Here is a 27,556-nt window from a genome sequence, read left to right as displayed (position 1 = left end):
TGAGACAGGAGAATCGCTTGAACCCAGGAGGTGGAGGTTGCAGTGAGCCGAGATTGTGCCACTGCACTCCAGCGTGGGTGACAGAGTGAGACTCCATCTCAAAACAAACAAATAAAAAAATAACAAAGGTTGTCTTTTTATTATTGAATTGTAAGAATTTAAAAATACATATTCTACATACAAATTCCTTATCAGATATGTGGTTTACACATATTTTCTCCCATTCTGTGTGTTGTCTTTTTACTTTCTTGATGGTGACCTTTGGAGCACACACGATTTTAATTTTGATAAAGTCCATGTGTTTATTTTTTCTTATTGCTTATGCTTCTGGCATGACGTCTAACAACCCATTGCCTACCCCATGGTCATGAATATGTACACTTACGCTTTCCTCTAAGAGTTTTTAGGTTTAGCTCTTACATTTTCATATTTGATCCATTTGTATTTATTTTTTATATGGTGGGAGGTAGAGGCCCAATTTCATTCTTTTACGCGTAGATATCCAGTTGTCGCAGAACGACTTAGTGAAAAGACGATTCTTTCCCCATTGCGTTTACTTGCATCCTTTCTGAAAGTCAATTGACTGTAAATGTGAAAATTTATTTCTGGATTCTCAGTTCAGTTCTATTCACCTATCTGTCAGTCTTTCTGCTATTATTTCATGTCTTAATGTAACTTTCTAATAAGTGTTAAAATTACGTCGTTAAAAAGTAATAATGCCTCAAGCATATGACAGAAAACAGCAGGCTTTTGTGTCATCTTTTCCAACTCCTGAATCCTGTCCTCCACTTTCACACTTTTATCTATTTTATTATTTTTACTTTTTTGCATCTACAAAATCTGCTTACTCAGTTCTTTCTTGATTTGCCATTTTTTTTTTTTTTTGACATAACCTACCGTCTTAATTTAATGGTAGATGGAGATTGAATATCTTTACTGGCCTCTTCCTGTCCTTCAACCTTCAAGCTTAATTATTTCATGATTTAGTCACTTAATAGGTATTTGCTCTATAATGACCATATTAGCAATGCTTGTTGCAGAATGTGGTATCTGCAGGGATGGTGTCTGATTTCACTTCCTTGCTCTATATTTTGCTGTTGTTGAAGCTGATGAAGTCTGCTTTGTTGTTTCTGAAGTTCCTTTGTTTACTTCATTTTCCAGATTACTCTCACCCATTGTTCTCAAGTCCACTAACTGATTTATGAAGACCCCTGACTATTTGTTTCTGATCATAGCAGGTCATCTGTCGGTACGTTTTGTTTCCAGCCCTGTGTCCTCTGGATTCATTCTCAGAGCCACCTGCATGGGCTTTGGGCTGGGTTTTCTTGTGTTGCTCTCCTAAACTGGACTCCAGTTTCCTGAATTCACTTTCTTGTTCTTGGTGCATTTTCATCTTCTGTTGGAGTATGTCCTCCAATAATTCCTCAGATAGCTGCAAGGGTGGCATATAATTTGAGACATCAGATGTGTGTGAAAATGTCCTGCTTGATTGATAATTGCCTGGGTGCAGAATTCTGAGCTGAATATTATTTTCCCTCATATTTCCAATGCTGTTCTTTCATCTAGTCTCAGCATTGCTGTTGAGAAGCCCTGTGCCATTTGATTCTCCGTGTTTTGAATGAGATCTGTGGTTGCTTTTAGCTACTGGGATCTTATTCCAGGTCTTTAGAAATTTCACAATAATGAGTATTTGTTGGGGTCTTTTTTATTCACTGTGCTGCACACCCAGTGGGGCCTCTCAATCTGGAAACTCATATTGTCTGTTCTGGGAATTTTATTGTGCTATATCTTTGATTGTGCTATATCTTTGCTTTCTTTCAGAAATCCTATTGGTTGGATGTTGGATTGATTAATCTTCCCTTTTCCTCCTATTCTATCATTTTAACTTATTTTATTCCACTCTCTAAGAGACTGTCTCAGTTCTACATTCAGCTGTTCTTCAGAATTTTTTTTCATCTATCATAATTTAATTTACAACAGCTCTCTGAGTTTTCTCATGGCCTCCTAATCTCATTTTATGGTTGAGATATTTTTTCTCTCTCTGAGGGCGGGTCAAGCTATTTTTTCTCCCTGCATTTATGTTTCCTCAGTTCCAATCTTTTTTTCTTTTTTTTTTTTTTTTTGAGATGGAGTCTCGCTCTGTCGCCCAGGCTGGAGTGCAGTGGCGTGATCTCAGCTCACTGCAACCTCTGCCTCCAGATTCAAGGAATTCTCTGCCTCACCTCCCGAGTGGCTCGGATTACAGTTGCCTGCCACCAGGCCTGGCTAATTTTTGCATTTTTTTTTTAGTAGACACGGGGTTTCATCATGTTGGCCAGGCTGTTCCTGAACTCCTAACCTCATGACCCACCCGCCTTGGCCTCCCAAAGTGCTGGGATTAGAGGCATGAGCCACTGCGTCCAGCCCTCAGTTCCAATCTTTGCTTGTTTTGAGCTGTTTCACTATGGAGACTTTCTTCAAATATCTTGCGTGCATTGTAAGGCTTCTGGAAGTCTACATGAAAGACTGGGGCTTGTGAACTCTTAGGGTGACTGGTAGGTGTTGGCTCTTTTATTGGAGAACTCCCCGATATCAGTGTCTGTAGGACTTCTCTCGTAATTCCTCCAGTGGAGACTTCCTCGTGGTGGTGAGGATGGGTAGAGTCAACCTTCTTGGAACAAAGTGACTAATGGGGGCTCAGGGTGGGGAGCAGACTCTCAGCCAGGTCACTCTCATGGTGTTAAGTGTGGCCCCGCTCCCCTGCCTCCGTGGCGAGTCCTCACTTTGTACCCTCTGGGCTTTAAGTTTTCCACATAATAAATCTTTCCACCTGGGTGGTGATGGGGCTATTGGCTACCTTCAGGGCATGGTGGATGGGACTGAGGTGTCCTTCCTTTCACTTTTTCTTTTTTCTCATGAATCTGCCTTTTTTTTCCCCCAGCCCCATATCTTACATCACCTTCAATTCCTATGTCTTGCGTTCTGTGGCACAAGTTGACTATTATTATTGGCATCTCCTTGTGTGTAATTTGGTATTCAGTCAGCTTACTTTTGCTAATGTTCTTATCAGTTTTCACCCAACATTTTCATTCCAACAATGTCTAAAAAGCATTTCGATCTTTCACGGGCTATTGTTTACTTCCCCAAGTTATTTCCTTTTAAACCTTTTCATATAGTAGTTACCAGAGCTTACAAGAGTCTTTATTCAAATCTTTCCAGCTCATTTAAAGGAAAATGGGGGGGAAATTCCTCACAGTTTTAATTTGCTCATAAGGACATTGGAAGGAACCAGTTTTGAGCTCCTTCACTGCAGAAGAGAGTTTGGCCTATGGGCCTGTGGGCCTGTGCTTGTCATGCTTGCAAGAAGAGGCTAGAGTTAAGGGCTGTCTTTCTGTAACTGGCATGACAACTCTTCTTAGCGAGTAGCTGGGGCGGAGCCCTGGCCGAACTGCTTGTGGCATGCATAGTATGCTTGCCATACAAAGGTGTGGGAGCTGATGTGGGAATTCCCACTCTTGTTGACGCTCCACACCTGAAGCACTTTCCAGAAATTATGGTAGCGAACCCTACTCACCCCTCAACTCAACTCTGGCTGTCTCTCAGTCCATCCTGGTCTCCAGCCCCTGCCACTTTGAGCCAAGGGGTTTCTTTTGGAAATCACATCCACCCACTCACTGCTCACAGGCTTTGCCTTCACCTGGGTTGAATCACAGATTAGTTCGCCTTCACTCTATCTGCTCACAGCTGTGGCGGCAGAAATTCTTCATAATCAGCATGTTCATGTCTCCTCCCATAATTTTCAGAACCAATACAGGTTGTGGAATGAGCAGGTAGAAGAGATGTGGCCGTCTTTAGAAAGCTGAGATAACTATTCTGACTCAAGTTATAGGATCTCCCCCACTTCACCACTGTTTTCAGTCTTTTTCTTGGGCCAGGCATGATGGCTCATGTCTGTAATCCCAGCACTTTGGGAGGCTGAGGCAGGTGGATCACCTGAGGTCAGGAGTTGGAGATAGACCTGGCCAACATGGTGAAACCCCGTCTCCACTAAAAATACAAAAATTAGCTGGGCATGGTGGTGCATGCCTGTAGTCCCAGCTACTCAGGAGACTGAGGCAGGATAATCGCTTGAACTCAGGGGGCAGAGGTTGCAGTGAGCCAAGATTGTGTCACTACCTCCAGCATCTCAAAAAAAAAAAAGTCTTTTTCTTTTTTTTTCTGCTTCTCCTTTTCCTCCTCCTCCTTCTTCTTCCTCCTCTCCCCTCTTTTTAAAGGTTGTGTATGTAAAGTGCATAAATTTTAAGTGTGTGCTTGATAAATTTATGTGTTTGGGTAACTACCACTCAGAACAAAATATAGAGCACTCTCAGCACTCCAGAAGCCTCCTTCCATCCCTTCTCTGTCAATACTTACCACCTCCAGAGGGAACCTCTGTTCTGACTTCTCTCCCCATCAATTACTTTTGCCTATTCCTGACCTTAATAAATGCTTCTCCCCTTACTCGGGTCTCTCCTCATTTTTCTCATTAGGATTGTATAATTTTCTCTACCTGAATTTCTTGAAGGGGAGTCTGTGACATGTTGGTCCTCTTAAATGCATCGTTTCACTTCATCCCCCTGGGGTGGGCATTGTGGTCCCCATTTTACAGATGAGAACAGCCCGCGAGGTTAAATAATCAGCTTGAGGTCACTTAGTCACTTACACTTACACAACAAGCAGCAGAGCCCAGATTTGACTCAGGTGGGTCTGACTCCACAGTCTGAGGCCTTTCCTTAACAAATCAATCTTTTAACACCTTTTGCTCATGAACAAAATTTAACACAAGGCTTTTTTTTTTTTTTTTTTTTTTTTTTTGCAACAGTGAATTTTATTACTAATGTTTGATTGGGCTGTAGAAACTTTTCTGCATATTTTAAGAAATGTGCTATGTTACCTTCACCTTCTTCCACCTTGATTCTCCTTCCTCCTGAGCCACCTACCAAATTCTGTCTCAACTCTCAAAATGAAATTGGCCTCTGATTTCTAGTATTTGTGACTGACTTGAAAAACCACAAGTAAAGACCAATTCCCAGTATTTCCAGAAGAGGGCGGTAGAGCCCACACTAAATTGCTCAGACACCGAACTAGTAGATTGGATCGGCCTGGACCAAATTCTGAGACTTGAGACTTGATGTACTTTACTTTCTATTAAACAAAGTAATAGGGCCTTACACACACTGGCTTTGGCTTACACATTTTAAGTAAAGTTTATGATATAGTTAGGCTCTGTGTCCCCATCCAAATTTTATCTTGAATTGGAATTCCCAAGTTTTGAGGGAGGAACCTGGTGGGAGGTGATTGGATCATGAGGGCAGTTTCCCCCATGCTGTTCTCGTGATTTGAAGGAGTTCTCATGAGACCTGATGGTTTTATAAAAGTGTTTGGCAAGTTCCTCCTTCGCTCCCTTTTCTCTCTCCTGCCGCTGTGTGAAGAGGATCCTTGCTTCCCCTTCGTCTTATGCCATAACTGTAAGTTTCCTGAGGCCTTCCCAGCCATGCAGAACTCTGAGTCAATTAAACCTCTTCTCTTTATAAATCGCCCAGTCTTTGGTATGTCTTTACAGCAGTGTGGAAAGGAACTCATACAGTTTATTTGCTGTATTCCCTTCTCCCTTCCCTGCTTTTCCCTTGTCCACATCCTTGTCTTCCTTTCCAACTCCAGGCTTCCTGAGACAAAGGTAGTTTCCTTTCACTCTGTCTTGCCTCTGAACTTCTCCTAGCTCTCATAATAAGTGGGTGAAAATTCTGTTTTCTTCAGGCTCTGTTTTTTTTCCCTAAGAATAATCCTAAAAAGTAGCTTACTGGATGTGTCAATGACTTACCTCAAAGTGACGACATTCTAATGGCTGACTTCAGTGCAACAAGCATTGCCTACCATGTGGCTGATACTAATCAGATCTATATGGGATTCTGTAAAGAAAAAAAAAATTAAAAATAATAATAAGCACTTACTGTGTGGTATGATGTGCTTCTTCTAGCTACTCAGGAGGCTGAGGCAAGATGATCACTCAAGCCCAGGAGTTAGAGGCTACAGTGAACTATGATGGTAGTATTGCACTCCAACCTGGCCAATAGAGTGAGACCCTGCCTCCTAAAACAAAAACCAAAAAAACACGCCAGAGTCACTTACCCAGACAGCCATAGCCACTGCCAGTGTCATTCTTACTATTCAGGGTGTAGGAATGGTATCTCCCAAGGCCAGACTGTGGGCTCAAGGGTACTTCTGTGCCACATACGTCTCTTGCCCTCCTCAGAACTTTCCACAATATGTGAGCTGGAAAATCTTGGTTGATTGGAACTTGGAGAGGGAATCCCACTGAGAGTACTCGCTAGCTGTCATTTCCCTAATATGGGTTTAGTGTCTTCATCTATGAAACAGGGAGTTGGTCTTTACCAGCCCAACTATTCTAGGATTCTGCAAATCCTGCTTTTACCTTTTATTAGGGCCTTGGAGAGAAACACCAAGCTGGAATCAGCCAGAGTTCCTTAGGTGGACCAGTGGAATGTTTTACTTACCTGTGACTGGCAAGTCTGTTCACTTCCTGTTTTCTAAGACTTTTGAATATGGATATTTTTTCATGGGACTCCTCAGATCAGTGCTCAGTAGTGAAAGAGAGACAGAGTTTGGGCTGCGGAGATCCCTGGGAAGTTTCCACCACTTCAGATAAAGCTTTAGTTTCCTGATGGCACCAGACTTGGGCCTCTGTCTGACTCTTCAGAAACAAAAGAAGAATTGCAAATAGCATCACTGCAAGGCTGCAGAGAAGGGGAGAACGTGCCTTCTACATTCTTTGAGAGTCAGAAACCAGCAGGGCTTTCCTTGGCATAGGACTGAATTAAAGAAAAAATTCGGGGCCGGGCGCGGCGGCTCATGCCTGTAATCTCAGCACTTTGGGAGGCCGAGGTGGGCAGATCACGAGGTCAGGAGATGGAGACTATCCTGGCTAACACGGTGAAACCCCGTCTGTGCTAAAAAAAAATACAAAAAATTAGCTGGGTGTGGTGGCGGGCGCCTGTAGTCCCAGCTACTCGGGAGGCTGAGGCAGGAGAATGGCGTGAACCCAGGAGGCGGAGCTTACAGTGAGCTGAGATCGCGCCACTGCACTCCAGCCTGGGCGACAGAGCGAGACTCCATCTCAAAAAAAAAAAAAAAAAAAAAAAAAAAAACGAAAAAGAGAAAATTCTGTGTTCAAATGAATGACTTGAGTAGCTCTGTTGATGAAATACAATTACGTCCTGTAAATCCTATGTGAAATGTTATCCTACACTTGATTCAATTCCTTAACATCACTTTCATTCCATTACACAACCTAACTTTTCATCGTTGATCAGACCTGAAATGAGGTTTAATGTTGGGCATGGAAGACCATTGAAAGACGTGAGGGTCAGAGATTAGGCATTAAGAGCACTGGGCACACGTCGTGGGTATTAAACACCTGAAAAATAATTAGTTCTGGCATGTTCATTTTCTAAAATAACCATGTCATACTGGATGGAGGTCTTGCTTCAAAATCAAAGACCTAGTTTGGATTTTGCCTGCCCTAGGAGGCTCTAGGAAGACGTCTTCTCCTCTCTGAATCTTATTTCACGGAGGGTAGTAAGACTTGGGAACTATATTTACCCTTCCTTCCCCAGGGTTGCTGCAAGGATCAGAGGAGGGGAAGTGTGTGCTCGTAATTGTAAAAACCAGACAATATGCCAGTTATGAATGCTAGTCTGCAGGTCACTGTACCCATGGAGTGAGTGGCAAGACAACTATTTTGCTGGTTTTCTGCTTATCCTGGTGTAGAATTCAAATGGAGCCTGAGATGATAGAACAGAGAACATCAGTGTCTGCTGTGGGTCTTAGGCTCTGCCTGTGATGCTTCTTTCTCCTACAAAGGCTACTATAGTTGTAGCTCGAATCCATCAATCAAATGGACCATAGATATTTACAGCCAAGCTATTAAGCCCAGTTTAGATGGGAGGCGTAGACAAGGCACGGCCAGCCCATCCTCCAGAGGCTGGGAGGACCTAGGCAGGCAGTGCAGGAGACGCACAGTATATGGTGGGGACAGGCAAACCCTAGAGGGATTACAGAGAGTGATGATCAGAGTGAGGGGGCAGGGAGGTCTTTATAGACAACTGGGGTCCCAGAAAGTGGGTCCTCAAGGTTGGGAGGGAATCAAATGACTAGATGACAGGTGGAGTCATTCAGAGCGAGGGGCCGCAGTAATCAAAGGCCACGAATTGGGGCAGTGACTGAGGAGCTGGTGCAGGAGGAGGCAGCAAGGCTGGGAGGGTGGGATGGGCTGGATTCTAGAAGCAGATAGCTTTTGGGCCAGGGTCTATGAACTGTCTCCTAAGGCATCAAAACAAAAGGAAAAAAGGCCTGAAAGACTGGCATGGCTGTCACACAGGATGAATGGGGAGCAGGGAGGCCCATGTGGGACCCAGTGGTAATCCTGGCAGGCTTCCTCCCCTTTCAGAGCCCCAGCCATGGGTTCTCAGTGTCTGTCTGCTACAAGGCACCATCAGTTTTTGGGGTTGTAAGCTCTTGTCCATTCCCTTGGTTTCAGCCTCCTACTGTCCCTCACCAGCAAGCCACTCATTGTCCCTGTAGCTGCCCTGTGGCTCTTTCTGTCTTCCTGACAGCCTCACAGAGGGTGGCCCTGGGGCCACGGCTCAGCCCTGGTGGCCTCTGAGCTGTGTCTGTCAGGCAGACACACAGGTACCAGATCGACGGCAGAGCAGGCCAGTTAGTGCCTGGTCCTCCTGCCTGTATGGGACCCGGCCTGCGTTGAACTATGATCTTCAACACTCACAACCACAAGCCACCACCTCAGCCCAGCACCCACTTGTGGCCACAGCGAGCTCTAAAGACTGATTTCGGTGCGTGTGGCCTGTTCACATTCCGGCTGGAGCTATGAGTCCTGGAAAGTCCTCAGCCCACTTCAACTCACCCTGGATCCCAGCCCTGCTCACCCCTTGCCAAGGAATACCCAACCCTTGCTCACCAGGCCATCTGGTATATGCAGAAGAGAACCCAGGCTTCAGGGTCAGAAAACTGAGCTGCGATTTCTTGCTGCTCCACTTATTCTCTCTGTGACTTCAAGAGGGCATCACCCCTGGGCCTCGCTTTGCTACGTGTGTGCAGTAGAAGGTTTGGATGACACCTGTACCAGAGCCCTGGGTCCGAATGGAGTGATGTGTGTGAAGCCACGTTGCATACTCTAGAGTTCTGCGCAAATGGCATGTCCCAGGCTCTCAAGAACTTTGGGAAGATTGACTTCCTTCCCAGAACATCTTTGTGAATTGAGCTGGGACTTCTGGAGGCAGGATTGTAGCCCAGAGGCGTGATGGCTGCTGGGAAGGAGAACAGAGTGAAGAGAATATCGGCTTCTCGGTATCACTGGTGTTGATAGATCCAAGGTTTGCTTTAGGATGCCAGGACTGCAGGAGGTAAAGGGACATGTTCACTACAAACCCCTCAATTAGTCACAACAAGTCCCGCTTGCAGAGGGAAACGGCACAGCCTGACCCATCTGATTAGCATGTGTTGATATGGGCCAAGGTATGAGATTAACATTTTATCTGCAAAGCTTCTGTGACCTCCTGCTTGCAGTTGTGAAGTCAGGACTCAACTCACAGTGTCTTGCTCAAGGTCCACATAAACATATTATGCTCACATTTGGGCATGGCCCTGCTTGGCAGAGCTGAAGCTGCGTACGTGAGGCATATGTATGTATGATCCAGCTGCTGTCTGATGCTTGCAGAATTGGTAAAGAGGTTGCCGAGATAGAAGAGCCAGCATCTGTTCTCACCTGTCTAAAAGTCCACTTGAGATCAGATTGTAGCAAGTGAAATGTTTGGACAATGATTCGGATAGCTTTCTTTGTAGCCTGGGGCAAGTCACTTAACCTCTCTAGACATGTTTTTCCATTCCTCATAGAAGAACAGGAAATTCTACTTTCAAAGGGAATCATGGCCTCTTAGCTCTGGAAGAAAACTGAGCGGGGTATGTTAGGCCAACCTTCTTTGGTCCCAAACCTCCCTTCTACCACAGCCTGGAAAAAAGGGCCTATCCTATCACTTTTACTTACATACCTCCTCCCACAGGGACCTCACTACCTCTCCTGAAGCCCATTCTTATGTGAGAAAGCTCTGATAGTTAACAAGCTACTTCTCATTTTCAGAAGAAGGTTTGGTAGCCAGGTTGATCAGGGAATGTTCAGCACTGGTTTGGGGAGTCGAGACGCCCCTGAGCTGGCCTGCCTCTCAGCAGTCAGGGCCATACTACTGCCAAGGGGGGTGATACAGTAGCAGCAACCGCTGCTCTCACTGGTTCTGTTGTCTGCCTGGACCAGCTGCCCTCATCTCTCATCCTCCACACCCCAGCTTACACTGTTTCTGCAGACTGAAATGAGTTTCCCTTACACTAGACAGAAAGCTTGCTATCTTTCTTCAAGATCTAGCTTAAATGCGTCATCTTCCATGAAGTCTTCCTAGATTTATCCAGGCCACACAATTCCTCGCCTGCATCCCCAGAACACTGAGCTCTTGCCTCTGTTATAGCAGGAGAACATAACATAGCAGTTGTATTGTTACAAATCATCCCTCAGTACATTCTCTGCTCTTCCAGGCTAATTACTGGGTCTCATATCCATGCTGGCATCCTCAGTATCTGTTGCAGGCCACAGCATATAGTGTGAATTCAATATTTGTGCTGACCCATCTAGACATAGACATAAATAAAAGTATATACATACATATTTTACTTCCTCCCTTCCTTCCCTCCCTCCCTCTCTCCCTCCCTCCATCCCTCTTTTCCCTCCCTTCCTCCCTCCCCTCTCCTCCCCTCCCCTCCTCTCCCTTCCTCCCTCCCTCCCTTCCTTCTCTCTCTTTTCTCTTTTCTTTCTCTCTCTTTCTCATTTTATTTTTTTCCTGCTACAAGCTCTTGCATGTGGAAGACAGAGTGAAATGCCCTTGGAATAACTGTAGTTTGTAGGAGAAGGGTCGTTGTCTACTGGAGGTTCAGAATTTCTCATAAAACACTTTAAAATGATGTGTGTTGGATGCGTTTAAAAGTAGCACAGTTAGTGCATTTATACTAAGCATATCAATGTACTGAGTAAAAGCAAATTAGAAAATTTAATTTGCTAAAAAGAACATCTGGATATCTAAGTAAAAGAGGTAAGGCTGTTATTTGACTCTGACCTGCATTCTTACTTCCATCGTCCTGCCCCAGTCAATAAACTCTTTTGGCCGGGTGCGGTAGCTCACACCTGAAATCCCAACACTTTGGGAGGCTGAGGCAGGTGGATCACCCGAGGTCAGAAGTTCAAGACCAGCCTGACCGACATGGTGAAACTCCGTCTCTACTAAAAATACTCAAAAATTAGCCAGGCATGGTGGCAGGCACCGGTACTCCCAGCTACTTGGGGGGCTGAGGCAGGAGAATCGCTTGAACCTGGGAGGCAGAGGTTGCATTGAGCCGAGATCGTACCGTTGCACTCCAGCCTGGGCGACAAGAGCAAAAATCCACCTCAAAAAAATTTAAATTTAAAAATAAATAAAAACCCTATTGATTTCTAGCATCTGCAGGACTTTCCACTGAGAATGAATGATGGATGCCCTAAACTGTATAATACCCAGAGGTGTCTGCCCAGGTAGGATTTTTGAGGTGAGCCAGAGAGGGCTGCCTTTGAAACCCTTCACCCACAGCCCCGCCTTTGCACCTCTGGACCCAGAGGCATGTGAGGCTTGGTCTTTGAGGAATAGCTTGTAGTTTCGAGGCCCTAAGGGCCCCTATACTTCATCACCTTTAGCTCCCTTCCTGTTCCTGGAAGCCCGGGGTGTGCTGTGGTGACACAGCCAGCGGGCGCCCCGTCCTCTCCACAGTCCTGGGCCCCGAGGGCTGAGTGCTCCTCCTGCTCCTAAGAAGACTTCAATGCAGCTTTCACCCTTCCCAGATGGTGTGGATCTTGAACTTTTCTAGAGCTTCGGGTAGGGGAATTTCATTAGTCTCTACATATGGGAACCTGATGGGCAGAAACTGCCACCATGGTTCATTTAACAGTGACATCTGAAATAAGTTCTCTGCGTCCTTTAACATTGACATGTGGAATAAGTTCTCTGCATCTCTTTTGTTTCAGGATTGTTATATGATCCATAGCGTGTCTCTCAGGGCTCTCTCTCATGCATGCTGGAGCCTCAGGTGTGGGGAAGCATACACGTGACAGGTTATCCTCTCTGTCACCCTGCCCATATTAGCTGTGGCTGCTCTCTGGGTCTGGTTAAGATCTTTGGTTGGTCTAGGTCAGAGATGCTCACCCAGGCCCCCAGAGCTCTAGACTGTCCCTGGAGATAGGTGGGCAGAGTTTGGGGTTACCCCGCTTCACATGTTCACCTAAAATGTTGTTTAAAGGAATGATTATGCTGCTTGAAGAACAAAGACAAAACACTGGGAACCACTGCCGCAGAGGGTCTCTGGGGTCCTCCACATTTCCAGCAGCCAAAGCCTCCTTCACTCTCAGTCAGTGAAGCCCCAGGGTAATAATTATTTTCATTTGTTTCACTTGTTGGACACCCAGCAAATGCATCCAGCAAGACTGCATTTGAACCAAGTTTTCTGAGGATAAAAATCATTAAAAAACATTTAAAGCTCACATTTAACACAGCTCTCAGCCCCCTTGGGAACCATTTCTGTATGTAGTTATGCATCTCTGTTCTTTTCATACAGTTCCCTCCCTCCTGGAAGCCAAGTAGTAAAACAGTCCATAATTAGTGGGTGGAGGAGCTTCTAGTTGGAGACAAGGCGTGTGTATTAGTCCGTTTTCTGCTGCTTATAGCAGAATGCCTGAAAGTGGGTTGTTTATAAGGAATTTATTTCTTACAGCTCTGGAGGCCGAGAAATCCAAGGTGCTGCATCTGGTGAGAGGCTTCTTGGTGGTGGGGACTAAACAGTGTCCTGCGGTGGTGTAGGGTGTCACATGGAGAGGGACTGAGTGTGCTAATGTGCCAGCTCAGGTCTTAGTTCGTCTTTATACCACACTGATCCCTTAACCCATTAGTTCATGAATGGATTAATCTACTCCTGAGGGCAGAGCTTTCATGATCCCACTACCTCTGAAAGGACACTGCCACACTAGTGATGAAGTTTTGATGTGAGTTCGGGAGGGGACATTGAAACCACAGCACCATCCAGTCAATGCTGTTCTTAATTCATCTCTGGGCTAAGGAAGCCTCCCCGCTGGGAACCTGTCTCTAATGTCTCCAGGCAGAGCTAGTGATATGGTTTGGCTCTGCGTTCATGTTCAGTTGTAATCCCCCGTGTTGGAGGTGGGTCCTGGTGGGAGGTGGTTGGATCACTGGAGTGGTTAGCATCATCCTCCTTCGTCACCATAGTGAGTGGGTTCTCATGAGACCTTTCATCCTGCTCTGGACATGTGAGATGTGCCTGCTTCCTCTTTGCCTTCTGCCATGACTGTGTTTCCTGAGGCCTCCTTAGAGGCAGAAGCCACTGTGCTTTCTGTCCAGCCTGCAGAACATGAGCCAATTAAACCTCTTTTCTTATAAATTACCCAGTCTTGGATATTTCTTTTTCTTTCTTCCTTTTTTTTTTTTTTTGTTTTGAGACAGAGTCTCACTCTGTTGCTTAGTCTGGAGTGCAGTGGCACAATCTCAACTCACTGCAACCTCTGCCTCCAAGGTTCAAGCGATTCTTCTGCCTCAGCCCCCTGAGTGGCTGGGATTACAGAGGTGTGCCACCACACCCAGCTAATTTTTGTATTTTAAGTAGAGACAGCGTTTCACCATGCTGGCTAGGCTGGTCTCGAACTCCTGACCTCGAGTGATCCCCCCGCCTCAGCCTCCCAAAGTGCTGAGATTACAGGCATGAGCCACTGCACCCAGCCTCAGATATTTCTTTATAGCAGTGAGAGAACTAATACAGATAGTGCTTTTCCCTCAGTGCTCCCACAGTGTCTCTGCCTTATATAAGGTGCACGATGCCAAAGGCTGTTTCCAAGTCCGTTTCCCTTGAAAGAGTGAGAGCTCCACGAGGGAGGGAACATACTATTCATTCTTTACTCTGGCACTTGGAATGTGGCAATCAGTGATGGTGGAATGACAGTTCAACAGAAATGTCCCCAGCCCAATCCCCACAACTTGTGAATATGATCCCTATGTGGCAAAAGCGCGTTGCAGATGTGATTCAGGTTAAGAATCTTGAGATAAGAAGGTGATCTTGAGGTACTCCTGCAGGTCCAATCTAATCAAACGAATCCTTCAAAGAGGAGAAGCTTCCCCAGCTGAGGTCGTGGTCAGGGGACAACACGACAGCTGAAGAAGGGCCAGGAAGATCTGCCGTTTTGCTGACTTTGAAGGTGAAGAAAGGAGCCATGAGCCAAGGCACGCAGTGACCTCTGGGAGCTGGAAAGGCAAGTAAATGAGCTCCCCCCAGAGCCCCCGCTTTCAGAAGGAACACATCCCTGCCAGCCCCTCGATTTCAGCCCAGTAAGACTGGTTTTGGGCTTCTAATCTACAGAACAGTAAGATCATAATTATGTGTTGCCTTCGGCTACTATGTTTGTCATAATTTGTTACAGTAGTGAGAGAAAACTAACACAGGTACAAAAATAGAGAAAATCCAATAACTGGATAAGAGGAAGAGAATTAGGAAAGATTCTTAGGCCAGGCACGGTGGCTCATGTCTGTAGTCTGAGCACTTTGAGAGACCAAGACTGGAGGATTGCTTCGACCCAGGAGTTTGAGACCACACTGGGCAACACAGTGAGACCCTGTCTCTACAAAATATTTTAAAAATTAGCCAGGTTTGGTGGTATGTGCCTACAGTTCCAGCTACTCAGGAGGCTGAGGTGGGAGGATCGCTTGAGCCTGGGAGGTTGAGGCTGATTGCACCACTGTACTCCAGCCTGAATGACAGAGGGAGACCCTGTCTCAGAATAATAATAATAATAATAATAAGATTCTTTTCTCATTTTATGTAGATCCACCAGGAGGAGCCCTTATCACACTATTGAAATCTGACTCCTCAGAGGCATCTAGGTTTTTAAGTATAGGGAGTTTTCTACAAGCATGCAAAACTTACTTTACAAAAAGGCTCAAGGAAAAATTGTGAAATGTTGTATTTCTGGTCAATTTTCTGCCCCCTTTCAGTTTGGAATGCACAGGCCACCCGGAGCCCGATGCAACCCTCGCACTGCCGGAACTGTGTTCTGCTCACCGGGGCTTCTCACCTCTCCTGGGGTTCCCAAGGCAGCTTTCTGGTTCTAAGCTACCAGCCTGCTTCTGTCCAATGAAACTGACCCGGTCCTTCATTGAACTCTGGCTGGTGACCCAGTAAACTACCTTCTATCTGTGCCCCTGTCTCTCTCCCTCCCTCCTTCCTGAAAGTCATTGAAAGAATGATTGCAACTCAGTAGCTCACTCACTCATTCATTTATTTCTACGGTCATCATGATTATTCATTACGCACCTATGATGTTTCAGTTACTTTACTAGAAAAACAAAGTCGGATAAAACCTGGCTATGCCTGCCCAGCAACCCCATATAATAGAGGGGCTTTGGGAGGTGGGAGGACTTAAGTATGGTGGGGGCACAAAGCGACCTACTCAGCCTTCAGCCATTCTTAGGGGAAGGGGCTGAGGGTAGAAGGGAGAAACTTGTCCAGAGGAGGTGACATTTGAGCTAGACCTTGAAGCATAGACAAGAGTAGCTTTTTCTAAATGGGAGTTGAGCAGTAAAGACAGGGAGGAATGGTGGGTGTATTGAGGGAAGATAATGGCAGTGGCAGCTGTAGGCAGGTCTGGCAAAGCACAGTCGGATTCCTGTAAAAAGAGGCTTACAGGCCGGGCGCGGTGGCTCACGCCTGTAATCCCAGCACTTTGGGAGGCCGAGGCGGGCGGATCACGAGGTCAGGAGATCGAGACCATCCCGGCTAAAACGGTGAAACCCCGTCTCTACTAAAAATACAAAAAATTAGCCGGGCGTAGTGGCGGGCGCCTGTAGTCCCAGCTACTTGGGAGGCTGAGGCAGGAGAATGGCGTGAACCCGGGAGGCGGAGCTTGCAGTGAGCCGAGATCCCGCCACTGCACTCCAGCCTGGGCGACAGAGCGAGACTCCGTCTCAAAAAAAAAAAAAAAAAAAAAAAAGAGGCTTACACACTAGCCAGGAAGCATTCAGACCTGAACTTACAGTAAGTAAGGAGGAGTCAGACAGACTTGCATTTATGTCTTAACGTGGCTGTATTTGCTGTATTTGTTCTTCTAAAACATCTCTTTGACAGCCATGTGGAGGTTGGGGAAATATTGTGAGCAGGAAGACCAGCTAGGAGCCTTCTACTTAAAAGTGACCTAAAAGGGGGCATGAGCAGATCTAATGGAGGCGGCAGGATGAATTTTAAAAGGCAGAATTTATAAGACTTTGTGGCTGGGCTCAGTGGCTCATGCCTGTAATCCCAGCACTTTGGGAGGCCAAGATGGGTGAATCACTTGAGGTCAGGAGTTCCAGACCAGCCTGACTCACATGGGGAAACCCCATCTCTACTAAAAATACAAAAATTAGCTAAGCGTAGTGGCGGGTTCCTGTAGTCCCAGCTACTTGGGAGGCTGAGGCACGAGAATCGCTTGAACCCTGGAGGTGGAGGTTGCAGTGAGCCAAGATCATGCCACTGCACTCCAGCCTGGGCAACAGAGTGAGACTCTGTCTCAAAAACAAAAACAAAAACAAAAAAAGACTTTGTAGGAATGAATGTGGAGAGTGAGGAAAAGAGGAATAGAAGGAGGTGTCAAAGCATAGAGATTCATTCCTCTACCTTGGGTGATGGTTTCTAAAGAGAGATCTTTGGCTGAGAGGGAGGTAAAGAGGGAGAAACAGAAGAAGGGATGGATTGCAAATTGGAGATCAGTCTAGCATGCAGGTAAAGAAGATGGGGAATCATCAAAATGCTATAAATAAATAAGAACAAACGAATTTGTCAGAAGGTGAGAAAGAAGACTGTTCAAGGAAATGGTGGCCTGTAGATACTGAATGCCACAGAACAGTTATGTAAGCAGAAGACTGAAAGATACCATTACAGGTGACAATTAGAAGTCACCTACTAGGCACCTTAGGAATACGTTGTTTTAGCAACTCCAGAACTTGTTATAGGAGGATAAGAAAATGCAGTGGTGCTGTGATCCCACTTTTCCAAAGAGTTGGAACATCAAAGGTAAGATTGTAAATATAAATAGAGGGGCAGGCAGAGGTGTGAAAAGTTTTTGGTTTTATTATTGTCATTATTATTTAAGAGACATGGTTGTGCTCTGTTGCCCAGGTTGGAGAGCAGTGGTGCAATCACAGCTCACTGCTGCCTCGAACTCCTGGACTCAGGCGATCTTCCCACCTCAGCCTCCCCAGTAGCTGGGACTACAGGCGCACAAAACCACACCCAGCTAATTTATTTATTTTTATTTATTTTTGTAGAGGTGGGATCTTGCTATGTTTTCCAGGCTAGTCTTGAACTCCTGGGCTCAAGCAATCTTCCTGCCTCAGCCTCCCAAAATTCTGAGATTACAGGCATAAGCCATCATGCCTAGCCAGTTTTATTATTATTATTTATTATTTATTTATGTTTTTTGAGACAGAGTTTCACTCTTGTTGCCTAGCCTGGAATGCAATGGCGGGATCTCGACTCACTGCAACCTCTGCCTCCTGGGTTCAAGCAATTCTCTTGCCTCAGCCTCCCCAGTAGGTGGGATTACAGGCATGTGTCACCACGCCCGGCTAATTTTGTATTTTCAGTAGAGATAGGGTTTCTTTATGTTGGACAGGCTGGTCTCGAACGCCTGACCTTAGGAGATCCACCTGCCTCAGCCTCCCAAAGTGCTGGGATTACAGGCATGAGCCACTGCACCCAGCCCAGTTTTATTATTTTTAGAATGGTGAGTGTTGAATGCTTTGTGGACTGAGGAGAAGCAAACAATAAACAGGGTGAGATTGAATACAGGTAAACATATTTACAATTTAAACACCCAAGAGAGTGATTTTGGTCTGAGTTCCAGGCACTGCTGGTGAGCTCCTGAGGGTTACTTTCCAGGTGGCAGCACCCCTGAAATCCCCCAGGTGGGCCACCCCCTCCTTCCCCCTGCCTGAACAGACAACTGGGTTCTGTCATGCCTTAGAGGAGGGGGTCGTGTGAGGCTTTGATTTCTGGGAAAGCCTACAAGGAGAAGTCAGACAGACCTGTATACCAACCTCAGTCCTGCAAATAGTCACTGTAGGCAAGATGACCTCTGAGCCTCAGGTTTCCCCTGGAGAAAATGAGGGTAATACAATCTATTATCTATTTTGCCATGAGGCTGGATGACATACGTATGTAAAGGCCTCCCTGCAATGCTGCCTCTGAAGTAAAGGCCTCCCTGCAATGCTGCCTCTGATGTGGCAAGCAAATTCAAGAGTCCTTATTTTCACACTCATGCCCAAGAGGAGATTCCTGACCAGGAGAGTTCTTTCTTTCCAGAGGTTATGGGCAGCCCTGCATGTGTTTGCTTGGTTTTTTGTTGTTGTTGTTGTTGTTGCTGTTGTTTGTTTGTTTGAGACAGAGTTTTGCTGTTGTCGCCCAGGCTGGAGTGCAGTGGTGTGATCTCAGCTTACTGCAACCTCTGCCTCCCAGGTTCAAGTGATTCTCTTGCCTCAGCCTCTCGAGTAGCTGGGATTACAGGCACCAGCTACCACGCCCGGCTATTTTTTGTAGTTTTAGTAAAGACGGGGTTTCACCATGTGGGTCAGGCTGGTTTCGAACTCCTGACCTCAGGTGATCTGCCCGCCTTGGCCTCCCAAAGTGCTGGGATTACAGGCGTGAGCCACTGCTCCTGGCACTTGTTTTTGTGTTTCTGTGTGTCTGTGGCTGTCCGCTGTGCTCATCAATATCTGGGCTCCTCCCAGCTGGGACAGGGAGCCTCTGTTTACTGCCCTTTGCCTGATGTTTACTACAATGTTGGACAGTTTGAGCTCTCAAACACCCAGCAGATGAACTCCCTCATTCAACAGATTTAGGAGGGAGCTGGGGAGACCAGACACAATAAAAACAGCATATTTCCCCCTAGAAGATTCCTGGCCAGCCTTCTTTCTTAGAAAGCCCTCCCTGGTGAGTCAGTGCATTGGCCCGCCCTGACCTCCCAGAAGATTGGACAGAAGATTATCTTGGCACAGGCACGGCAGACAATTTCTCTGCCTGCACAGATTTCCTGGTACCCAGCAATATTTGGCTAACCTGAACTTTTATTTTTCTAACTGAAACACCATACTGTTGATTTTAGGAACATTGCTTTTACCTTCTCTAAGAGGACAAGGTCTCTAAATCTTTCCCTATTGAAGAATTTGATTTTGGTTCATCCAGGTCATTGTGGCTAGGGCTAAGGGTGTAGCGAGGTCTGAGCTTCCAAAATGCTGGTTATGCAGGGAGCAGATGGGGAGGGAGATGAGTTAGCAGGGCTCTCTCCTGCTCTGAGAGTCATCTCTGAGCCCCCCAACCCCCATAGCACCTGGCCAGTGGCTTGGACAGAGAAGGTGCTCAGAAAATGTTGGATAAGCAAGTGAATACGTGGGGATATGAATGGATAGATTTGACTTGTTTACTCAAGAGGCAAAGAAGAACATGAAGGAGCAATGGAAATGGGCTTGGAAGGAGTGATACTGGTAGGTCACCATGTTGAGGACAGGACAGGGTGAATACTGGCTGGCATGTGTGTTTCGGTGTTGTTGTATTAGTCCATTCTTGCACTGTTATAAAGAAATACCTGAGACTGGGTAATTTATAAATAAAAGAGGTTGAATTGGCTTACTCTATTGTAGGCTATACAGGAAGCATGGCTGGGGAGGCCTCAGGAAACTTACAATCATGGTGGAAGGTGAAGGGGAAGCAGGCACGTCTTACATGGCCAGAGCAGGGGGAAGAGAGAGAAGGGGGAGGTGCTACACCCTTTTAAACAACCGGATCTCATGAGAACTCACTCACTATCATGAGAACAGGAAAGGGGAAATCTGCCCCCCTGATCCAATCATCTCCCACCAGGGCCCTTCTCCAACTTTGGAGATTACGATTCGACATGAGATTTAGGTGGGGACACAAATCCAAACCATAACAAGTGTATACCTAAAGCTCAGTAGTCTTGAAGCTGGCACATCTAGCCTTGTGAAATTCCACATGCCTGTATCACTCTCACTCCGTGCCCATTGATAGGATATAGGAAAAGTGGATTTTAAAATATTGAGAAAACAATTCCTAGAGAGAGTTCTTGCAGGGCCTATCTCTGCTTGAAGGGGCCAAGTGAGGAATGAGCCCAACACAATCACCGATCAGGCTTGCTCAGGTGGGGCGTGTAAACCCAGCTTTCCAGACTTGGTGTTGAGAACCAAGGCGTCCTGCTGATATTTTCTGTGAATCTATTGAATTGGCCATGGCGGAGGTTAAATAGAGCAAGTATAGTGTTAAAGGAAAAGGCTGTTGTGATTCAGTTCTGGGTTGTGGCTTGTTTTTTTGAGCCACTTCTGGGCTCAGCTTCATAGGTTGGGCTGCATACTTGGTGGCTGGATCAGTGGCGGTCACGGGGAAGCTGTGTCACTCAGCCAAGGACATTGGCTGTGGGTGATCTGTAGCAGGTGGCAGCAACCTGGTTTCAGAGCTTAAGATGATCCTTCAAACTGTCCCCAGCAAGTTCGCTGCACTCCCAGCACCATTAGATAAGGCAGTGTCCTTGATTTCAGGGAACTCACCTCTGATTGTATTCTTCTATAGCCTGGAGTAATTGAGACTTTTCAAAGCAGCCTGGAAAAACCTTACATCCTGGAGGAAAGAACAGGGCCCACTTTCTCTCCTCTTTCCTCCTAGAGTCTTAGGAATATTTAACCTTCAAGTAGGTAGAGATATTACTGGGGCCTCTTCACTCTGACTTTCTCAGCTGCCGATTCATTCTCTTGGTGCAGAAATTCGTTTTTACTATTATGGGTTGCTTTAGTACTAACACATAGCAACTTGCTTTGAGTATGGAAAAATATGCCAATAAATGCATGCAGACATGTCTGAGCACGTAGGGAAAATGTCGGTAGACCCAAAGGCTTTTATCATCACGAGCCATTGGGTCTTGAGGATCCTGAGTTCTCTTCTCCAGAGCCATTACTGAAGTATACTGAATCTCCAGGACAGAAGCTCCATGAGCCTCAATAAGAAAGATCAGGAACTCCCTTTCTTCCCCAGCAATTTGGGGGAGCAGCAGCTTCTCCCATTCAAGAGGCATTTCCTGGAGAGAGGTAGATTGATGGAAAACAGTCAAGTATACACATAAATATGAAACACATTTAGAGCATTTGACCCAATGTCTAGTTCTAGTTCTACAGCAGGGAGAGTAAAGAATTTAGTCAGCCCTCACTGTGGGAGAAGCCCTCATTGATCTAATCAGGGAAAATGGGAGGAGGCCCATTTGTAAGAGACACTAAAGGAGAAGATTAGGAAGTCATCAGGAGGGGTTTCAGTGGACTACGCCTTGGCCTCTGTATAATGAAACCAGTATCCTTAGAGCTTCAGGAGTGAAACTCCCCACAGTTGCAATAGAATAACTTATATTAAGTCCTGCTTTACAGTAAATAACACCTGAGTGAGATTCCAGGGAAGAGGTTTAGAGTTATCATTTAATCAAGCCAAGACTTGTCATTGAAAAATTATGTGTGCAGAGCCCTGTGTTAAATACAGCAAGGAATACAGAAATGGAAAATGTGGGGATGGGCACGCTGGCTCATTCCTATAATCCCAGCACTTTGGGAGGCCAAGACAGGCAGGTCACATGAGGCCAGGAGTTCAAGACTGGCCTGGCCAACATGGTGAAACCCTGTCTCTACTAAAAATTCAAAAATTAGCTGGGCGTTGTGGCACTCGCCTGTAATCCCATCTACTTGGTAGACTGAGGCATGAGAATTGTTTGAGCCTGGGAGGTGGAGGTAGCAGTGAGCTGAGATTGTGTCACTGAACTCCAGCCTGGGTGACAGAGCAAGACTCTGTCTCAAAAAAAGAGAAGAGAAGAAAAGAAAAAGGTGTGAATTCTGCCTTCCAGGAGCTTCAGGCTGGTAAGAGAGTAAGACCTACATAAATAACCTGTTAAAGGGCAGAGTAGTTACGACCAAGACAGAGACCCAAGCAGTGTGCTATGGAAGTAGAAGACAGGGAGAGATCTATTTCATTTAGGGAGCTCGGGTAAAGCTCATTAGAGGAAACGGCATTGAAACAGGGATCTCACAGACTTTTACCAGACTGAAGGTGGGGATTAGGGTAAAATGAGTGGGACACTTGACTGGGTTACAGCATGTACAGGAGTGCCAAAAAAAACTTCAGTAATCAAGATTAATAATACGTTAATGAAATATTTTAAAATCAAAATAAATGCAAAAAACCCCACAAGTAATAGAACATCCATTATTTCAATAAGTCCAGGATGTTTTGAATGAGCCTGCCTTCTCATACAAGGAAACTATTCTTTTTAATCAGCTCTTGGTTCCTAGTTCCCTACCAGGAGCCTTTATAAGGGTTGTCAGCAACCTGTGAGCAGATTGGGCAACCTAGAGGTTTATATATAGTCATTTTTTAAAACTGTAGAGCTTTTATTAGCTTTTACACTTGATATGGTTTGGCTGTGTCTCCACCCAAATCTCACCTTGAACTGTAATAATCCCCACCTGTCAAGAGTGAGGCAAGGTGGAGATAATTGAAACATCAGGGTGGTTTCTCCCATACTGTTCTCATGGTGGTGAATAAGTCTCACGAGATCTGATAGTTTTATAAATGGGAGTTCCCCTGCACAAGTTCTCACTTGCCTGCCACCATGTAAGATGTGACTTTGCTCCTCATTTGCCTTCCACCATGATTTGTGAGGCCTCCCAAGCCGTGTGGAACTGTGAGTCCTTTAAACCTCTTTCCTTTATAAATTACCCAATCTCAGGTATGTCTTTATTAGCAGTGTGAGAAGTGCATATGGGGGTGTGTATCTTTCCTTTTGCTTGGACTCCAACATGGCTCAACACAGCACTGGCCAAACTGGTAAAAAATGAGGCCATGTGGAAGGAGAATAGTTTGAGCAAAGGTAGGAGACACTAGCGTAGGTCCAGACCCACGGGGGTTATGAATCACATCCTTGGGAAGTTGTAATGAGAGAGAAGGCTGGAACATTTAGAAGCAGCGAGAGTGTGAAGGGCTTTGAATACCATTTTGAAGATGTTTGGAATTAATAGTGTGGATACTTCAGGTACCATAAAATGTTTCTGAACAAGGATTGTGGACACAAACACACCTAAGGCCAGTCTATGGAGCAAACACACCTGAGACCAGTCTGCGGGTAGTAGGGAGCATCTGTCGGAGAGGGTGAGTCAGGAAAGAGAATTGCTGGAGGAAGCAGCCACTGCCATCGAGCAGGAGAAATGGAAGAGTCCTCCCAACCAGGCAGAGGGCCTCAGGCTTAATAGACCGTGCTGTTCAGAGTATAGTTATAAGGACTTCTTCAGCTGCTTCTTCAATAATCTAAGAAGCTTTGCTGAGTGCTTCCTGTAGATAACAAACTAACATCCACTTGAGGACAGGAAATGCATTGTGATTCTTTTTCCCGATGAGGACACAGCAGCCCCAGTGAGTTAGGTATCCTGTCTAACAATCTCACACCCTTCTTTTCATCAGCTGCTGTGATCTCTGGGCCACGTAAATTTCTAAGTGGAGGTACAGTGAGTTCCTAAGAAGCCAGGCCTTTCCTTATCTGTGCTATTAGAGCTGTGTTGCTATAAATTTCAGAGACAGAGTCAACATCCCATCTCGGATGGAGGGGAGGAGTGGAAAACCAGCCCTCAACTTTTTTGGGGTGTTTTTCTTTCCCATGTTGTAGTAAGCATGCTAAGAAAAGATAAAGTTTTGCAGATGTGAACTGATTGGAGAAGAAAACTTGTTCTGTAAAATACACATATTGTTAAACCTCACTAATTCTGTTTTAATTTCCTGAGAAATCACAGTGGATCAGATGAAGGATGAATTGATTTATGATTGGTTATAAAGGAAGTGTGGTTCTTGCTGTTGTTAAAAACAGCAGACGTATTAAAAGAGTTTTAATTGAGCAAAGAATAATTCGAGAATCGGGCAGCCTCTGGAGCCAGAATAGACTCAGAGACTCCAGCACAGCCACGTGGTGGAAGAAGATTTATGGACAGAAGAAGGAAAGTGACTTAAAGAGAACAGATGTGAGGAACAAACAGGTGGATTCGTTACAGCTTGGCGCTTGCCTTATTTGCACACTTTGAATAGATGGCCACGTTTGATTGGCCGAAACTCAGTGACAGGCACAAAGTAGGCTACAGTCTGTTTACACCTCCATTTAGGTTATAATTCATGATGTATAGAGAAACCTTTAGGCTGATCATAAAATACGTAAGGAGGTAGCTTTAGGCCAAACTTGATTCAACACTGAATGTAATGTAATGTAAACACGATGGCAGGTTGGAGATTCAGAATACTTCAGAGGCATGAAAAGCCCACGTAAGCATTGTCAAGAGTAAGAAAAACCCATTAAAATCCAACTAAGTCAACAATTTCTATTTATACGTTAAAGACTCAAAAGGAGTTCTCTCAAATGATACGTTTAGAAAATGATTTTAGTTAGAATACAATTTTAAAAATATAAAACTAGATCTCTTGAATTATATTCAGAAACATACTTTCTCACAAATGTAGACAGGCCTTTCCTCAACTGGTCTGAAATGCTGAACTGGATTGAATGAGACAAATCCCTATTTGAGTGTCAGTTCCTGGGAAGGATGCTAAGGTGGGTACGACCTTGCTCTCCAGGAGAGGGCACTATCCTGTCGGGAATTAGAGAGTAAAACAAGAGAAAAAGAAGTTACTTAGCAAAAGACTTGAAATATTATCTGCTTTAGTCAGCTCAGGCTGCCATAACAAAATACCATAGCCTGGGATTCACGTGGAGAGATGAGTCTCAGCAGGAGTGGGCAGATGCAAGCCTACTGAGGTGACAGCATGGCCACTGGCATTTGCAGGGCCCCAAGGGACCCCAGAGGCCCTCTCAATGACTTGGGGAGGTTTTATTAATGGGCTTGGCTTCAGAAAGCTAGATCCAGTTATTTTGTTTTTGTTTTTAATTTTATATCTCCTCAAATTCCCTTTACCATGGACATAGTTTTGAGGTGGTGGCAAAAGAGGCCTTCAGGTCTGTGCTTAATGTTTGCTTTGTAGAAAAACTCACTGGAATGCATCAACTCTTGATTATAACACATGAAAAGTAGAAAATCTGTTCTGGGATGTAAGCAGACTCCAGAGATGATCAGGTGAGGCAAAGCGAAACAGGCCATGCCTGCTAACAGCTGCCCAACTTCAAGGAAATAGAAAATAGACGACAACATGATGTTGGCCAAAACTTTTCCATCACTAAGGTAGCAATAATATCCAATCAGGCACAGCATGTGGAAAATACTACAGAGTAGGCATACTGGCTACCATTGATCAGGGCGATCGTAGTATCATCAGTGGTGTGCCAGAACAGACTGGTGAAAGGTAGACCATGACAAGTTTTTCTCGAAAAAACCTTGCTAGAGCTTATTTTTTAAGAAAACAGAATAGGCTGGGCACAGTGGCTCACGTCTGTAATCCCAGTACTTTGGGAGGCCAAGGCAGGCGGATCACGAGGTCAGGAGTTCGAGACCAGCCTGGCCAACATGGTGAAACCCCATCTCTACTAAAAATACAAAAATATTAGCCAGGCATGGTGGCGGCAAGTGCTGTAATCCCAGCTACTCAGGAGGCTGAGGCAGGAGAATTGTTTGAACCTGGGAGGCGGAGGTTGCAGTGAGCCGAGAGTGCCACTGCACTCCAGCCTGGGTAACATAATGAGACTCTGTCTTCAAAACAAAACAAAACAAAAACCTATAGATTGGATGGCCTACATTCTGGAGGCTGGAAGGCTGAGAGCAAGGTGCCAGCGTGGCTGGGTTTTGGCAAGGGCCCCCTTTCTGGCCTGCAGATGGCTGCTATCACTCCACCTTCTCCTGTGGACTTTCTTTAGTATACGCTCCTGGAGAAAGGGAGAGAGAAAGCTCTCTGATATCCCTTCTTCTAAGGGCACTAAGTCCACCAGACCAGGGTCTCATCCTCCTGAACTCATTTAATCCTAATCATCTCCCAGAGGACCCATCTCCAAATATCATCCCCTTGGGTGTTAATGCTTCAATATACAAACTTGGCAAGTGGGGGACAGAAGCATTCAGCTCCTAGCATTATCAAGGTTGATAATTGCAGGAGACTGATTGAAGTGAGAAAGAGCGAAATGTTTCTGAAACAGTTAAAGGGAAGAAGTGGGCCCAGGAAAGTGCTGTGGAAGCCAGAGTTTGGGCTGTACTCCTTAGAAGGGACTGGGTTTAAGTCGGGCATCTGACTGAAAGGGAATGCATCTTGGGAAAGACAGAAGCAGGCATGTTGAGGAAAGCACAGGTATGCTAGGGACATTCAGGCCACGGACAGAGAAGGGGGAGGAATGGCAGGGTGAAAAGCCACCAGGACGGAAGTGTCAGGTTGAGCAGAAAAGAAAGCTAAGGAGCAAGAGGTGGCTGGGTCTGGGTTAAGGGACCCTCAGAGTCTCTAATGGGTCAGAGGAAGCTGGCTTTCATCCTACTGGTAGAAGGGAAGGGAGCATATAGAGGCAGTCGTCCAGGAAGATGATTGGCCAGGGCCATGAAGTGTAGATGAAGGGGGCAGCAGGAGACAGGCAGACTGGTGAAGAGGCTGCAGCAGTGTACCAAACCTAAGCAAGCCAGAGCCCAGGTCAGGGTCTTGGATCCTGCCTGCCACTGCTTTTGCCTTAAGTAGCTGGTCGTTCCTGGCTTCATTTTCTCTCTGTTGAAGATGTTGCATAATTTGGGGGCATGTGCAGAAGTCCGAGGGCCTCTTTCAAAATACTTGTCCTTTCTGGCCTAAGGAAATCATAGAATAGCAGAAAGAGTTCCAAGAAGAAGCCTCAAGCCCAGAGAGACCATGAGCACATACCAGAAGGTGTTAGAGACATAAATTATGATGAGCTAAGATTGAATGAGAGATTGTGATAAGATCACTTGCAAAAGCATTCGCTGGGGAAAATCTATGTTCTCTTGACCATCAGGAAGCATGGACACACCTAGTACTGCTATGCCTTCTACCCCACACACAGGGAAAGTGAACTAGAGGAAGCATAGGGAATTGAACTGATTTTGTAAGATTCACTTTTCCACTAAAAAATCAAAACAATGCTTGCTTTCTATCCAAACAGGATATCTCTGGATAGTTCTCTGAAAATCATTTCACAATTCACATTGCTGGGCCAAATGTTCCTAAAATATATGACTATTTCTCCTCCGAGAGCCCGGTAAAGGAACTTGATTACATTTGGCAAAGAAATCTAGAGACACATCCTTGTAGGTGAAAGAGGGCCTCATAAAACCGTATCAGCCAAACTCCCCACATAGGTCATAAGCCCAAATGAAGACAA

The 27,556-nt window shown here is 45.5% G+C and overlaps 2 long non-coding RNA genes and 1 pseudogene across 2 annotated transcripts in view; 1 reads left to right on the top strand and 2 right to left on the bottom strand.

Annotated features, from left to right (window-relative positions):
• Positions 1-5,614: 5,614 nt before the first annotated feature.
• On the bottom strand, positions 5,615-13,500 carry LOC105379312 (uncharacterized). Its single transcript, XR_949563.2, has 3 exons — positions 11,819-13,500; positions 9,014-10,731; positions 5,615-5,927 (listed from the first exon to the last, which is right to left on the bottom strand). It is a non-coding gene; the product is annotated as an uncharacterized LOC105379312 (long non-coding RNA).
• Positions 13,501-14,075: 575 nt separating this feature from the next.
• Positions 14,076-27,556, bottom strand: part of LOC105379311 (uncharacterized) — a 45,659-nt gene continuing 32,178 nt past the window's right edge. Inside the window, exons 2-4 of the long non-coding RNA NR_188140.1 lie at positions 20,155-21,298; positions 18,255-18,310; positions 14,076-14,429 (exon numbers count right to left, since the gene is read on the bottom strand). This is a non-coding gene — a long non-coding RNA (uncharacterized LOC105379311). The remainder of the gene's footprint in view (positions 14,430-18,254; positions 18,311-20,154; positions 21,299-27,556) is intronic.
• On the top strand, positions 25,276-25,597 carry RPL30P9 (ribosomal protein L30 pseudogene 9; annotated as a pseudogene).

This window comes from Homo sapiens, chromosome 8 (genome assembly GCF_000001405.40).
Source record: "Homo sapiens chromosome 8, GRCh38.p14 Primary Assembly".
Classification (NCBI taxonomy): domain Eukaryota; kingdom Metazoa; phylum Chordata; class Mammalia; order Primates; family Hominidae; genus Homo; species Homo sapiens.
Note: the sequence above shows the minus strand (reverse complement) of the source record. Positions and strands in the feature narration are given on the sequence as shown.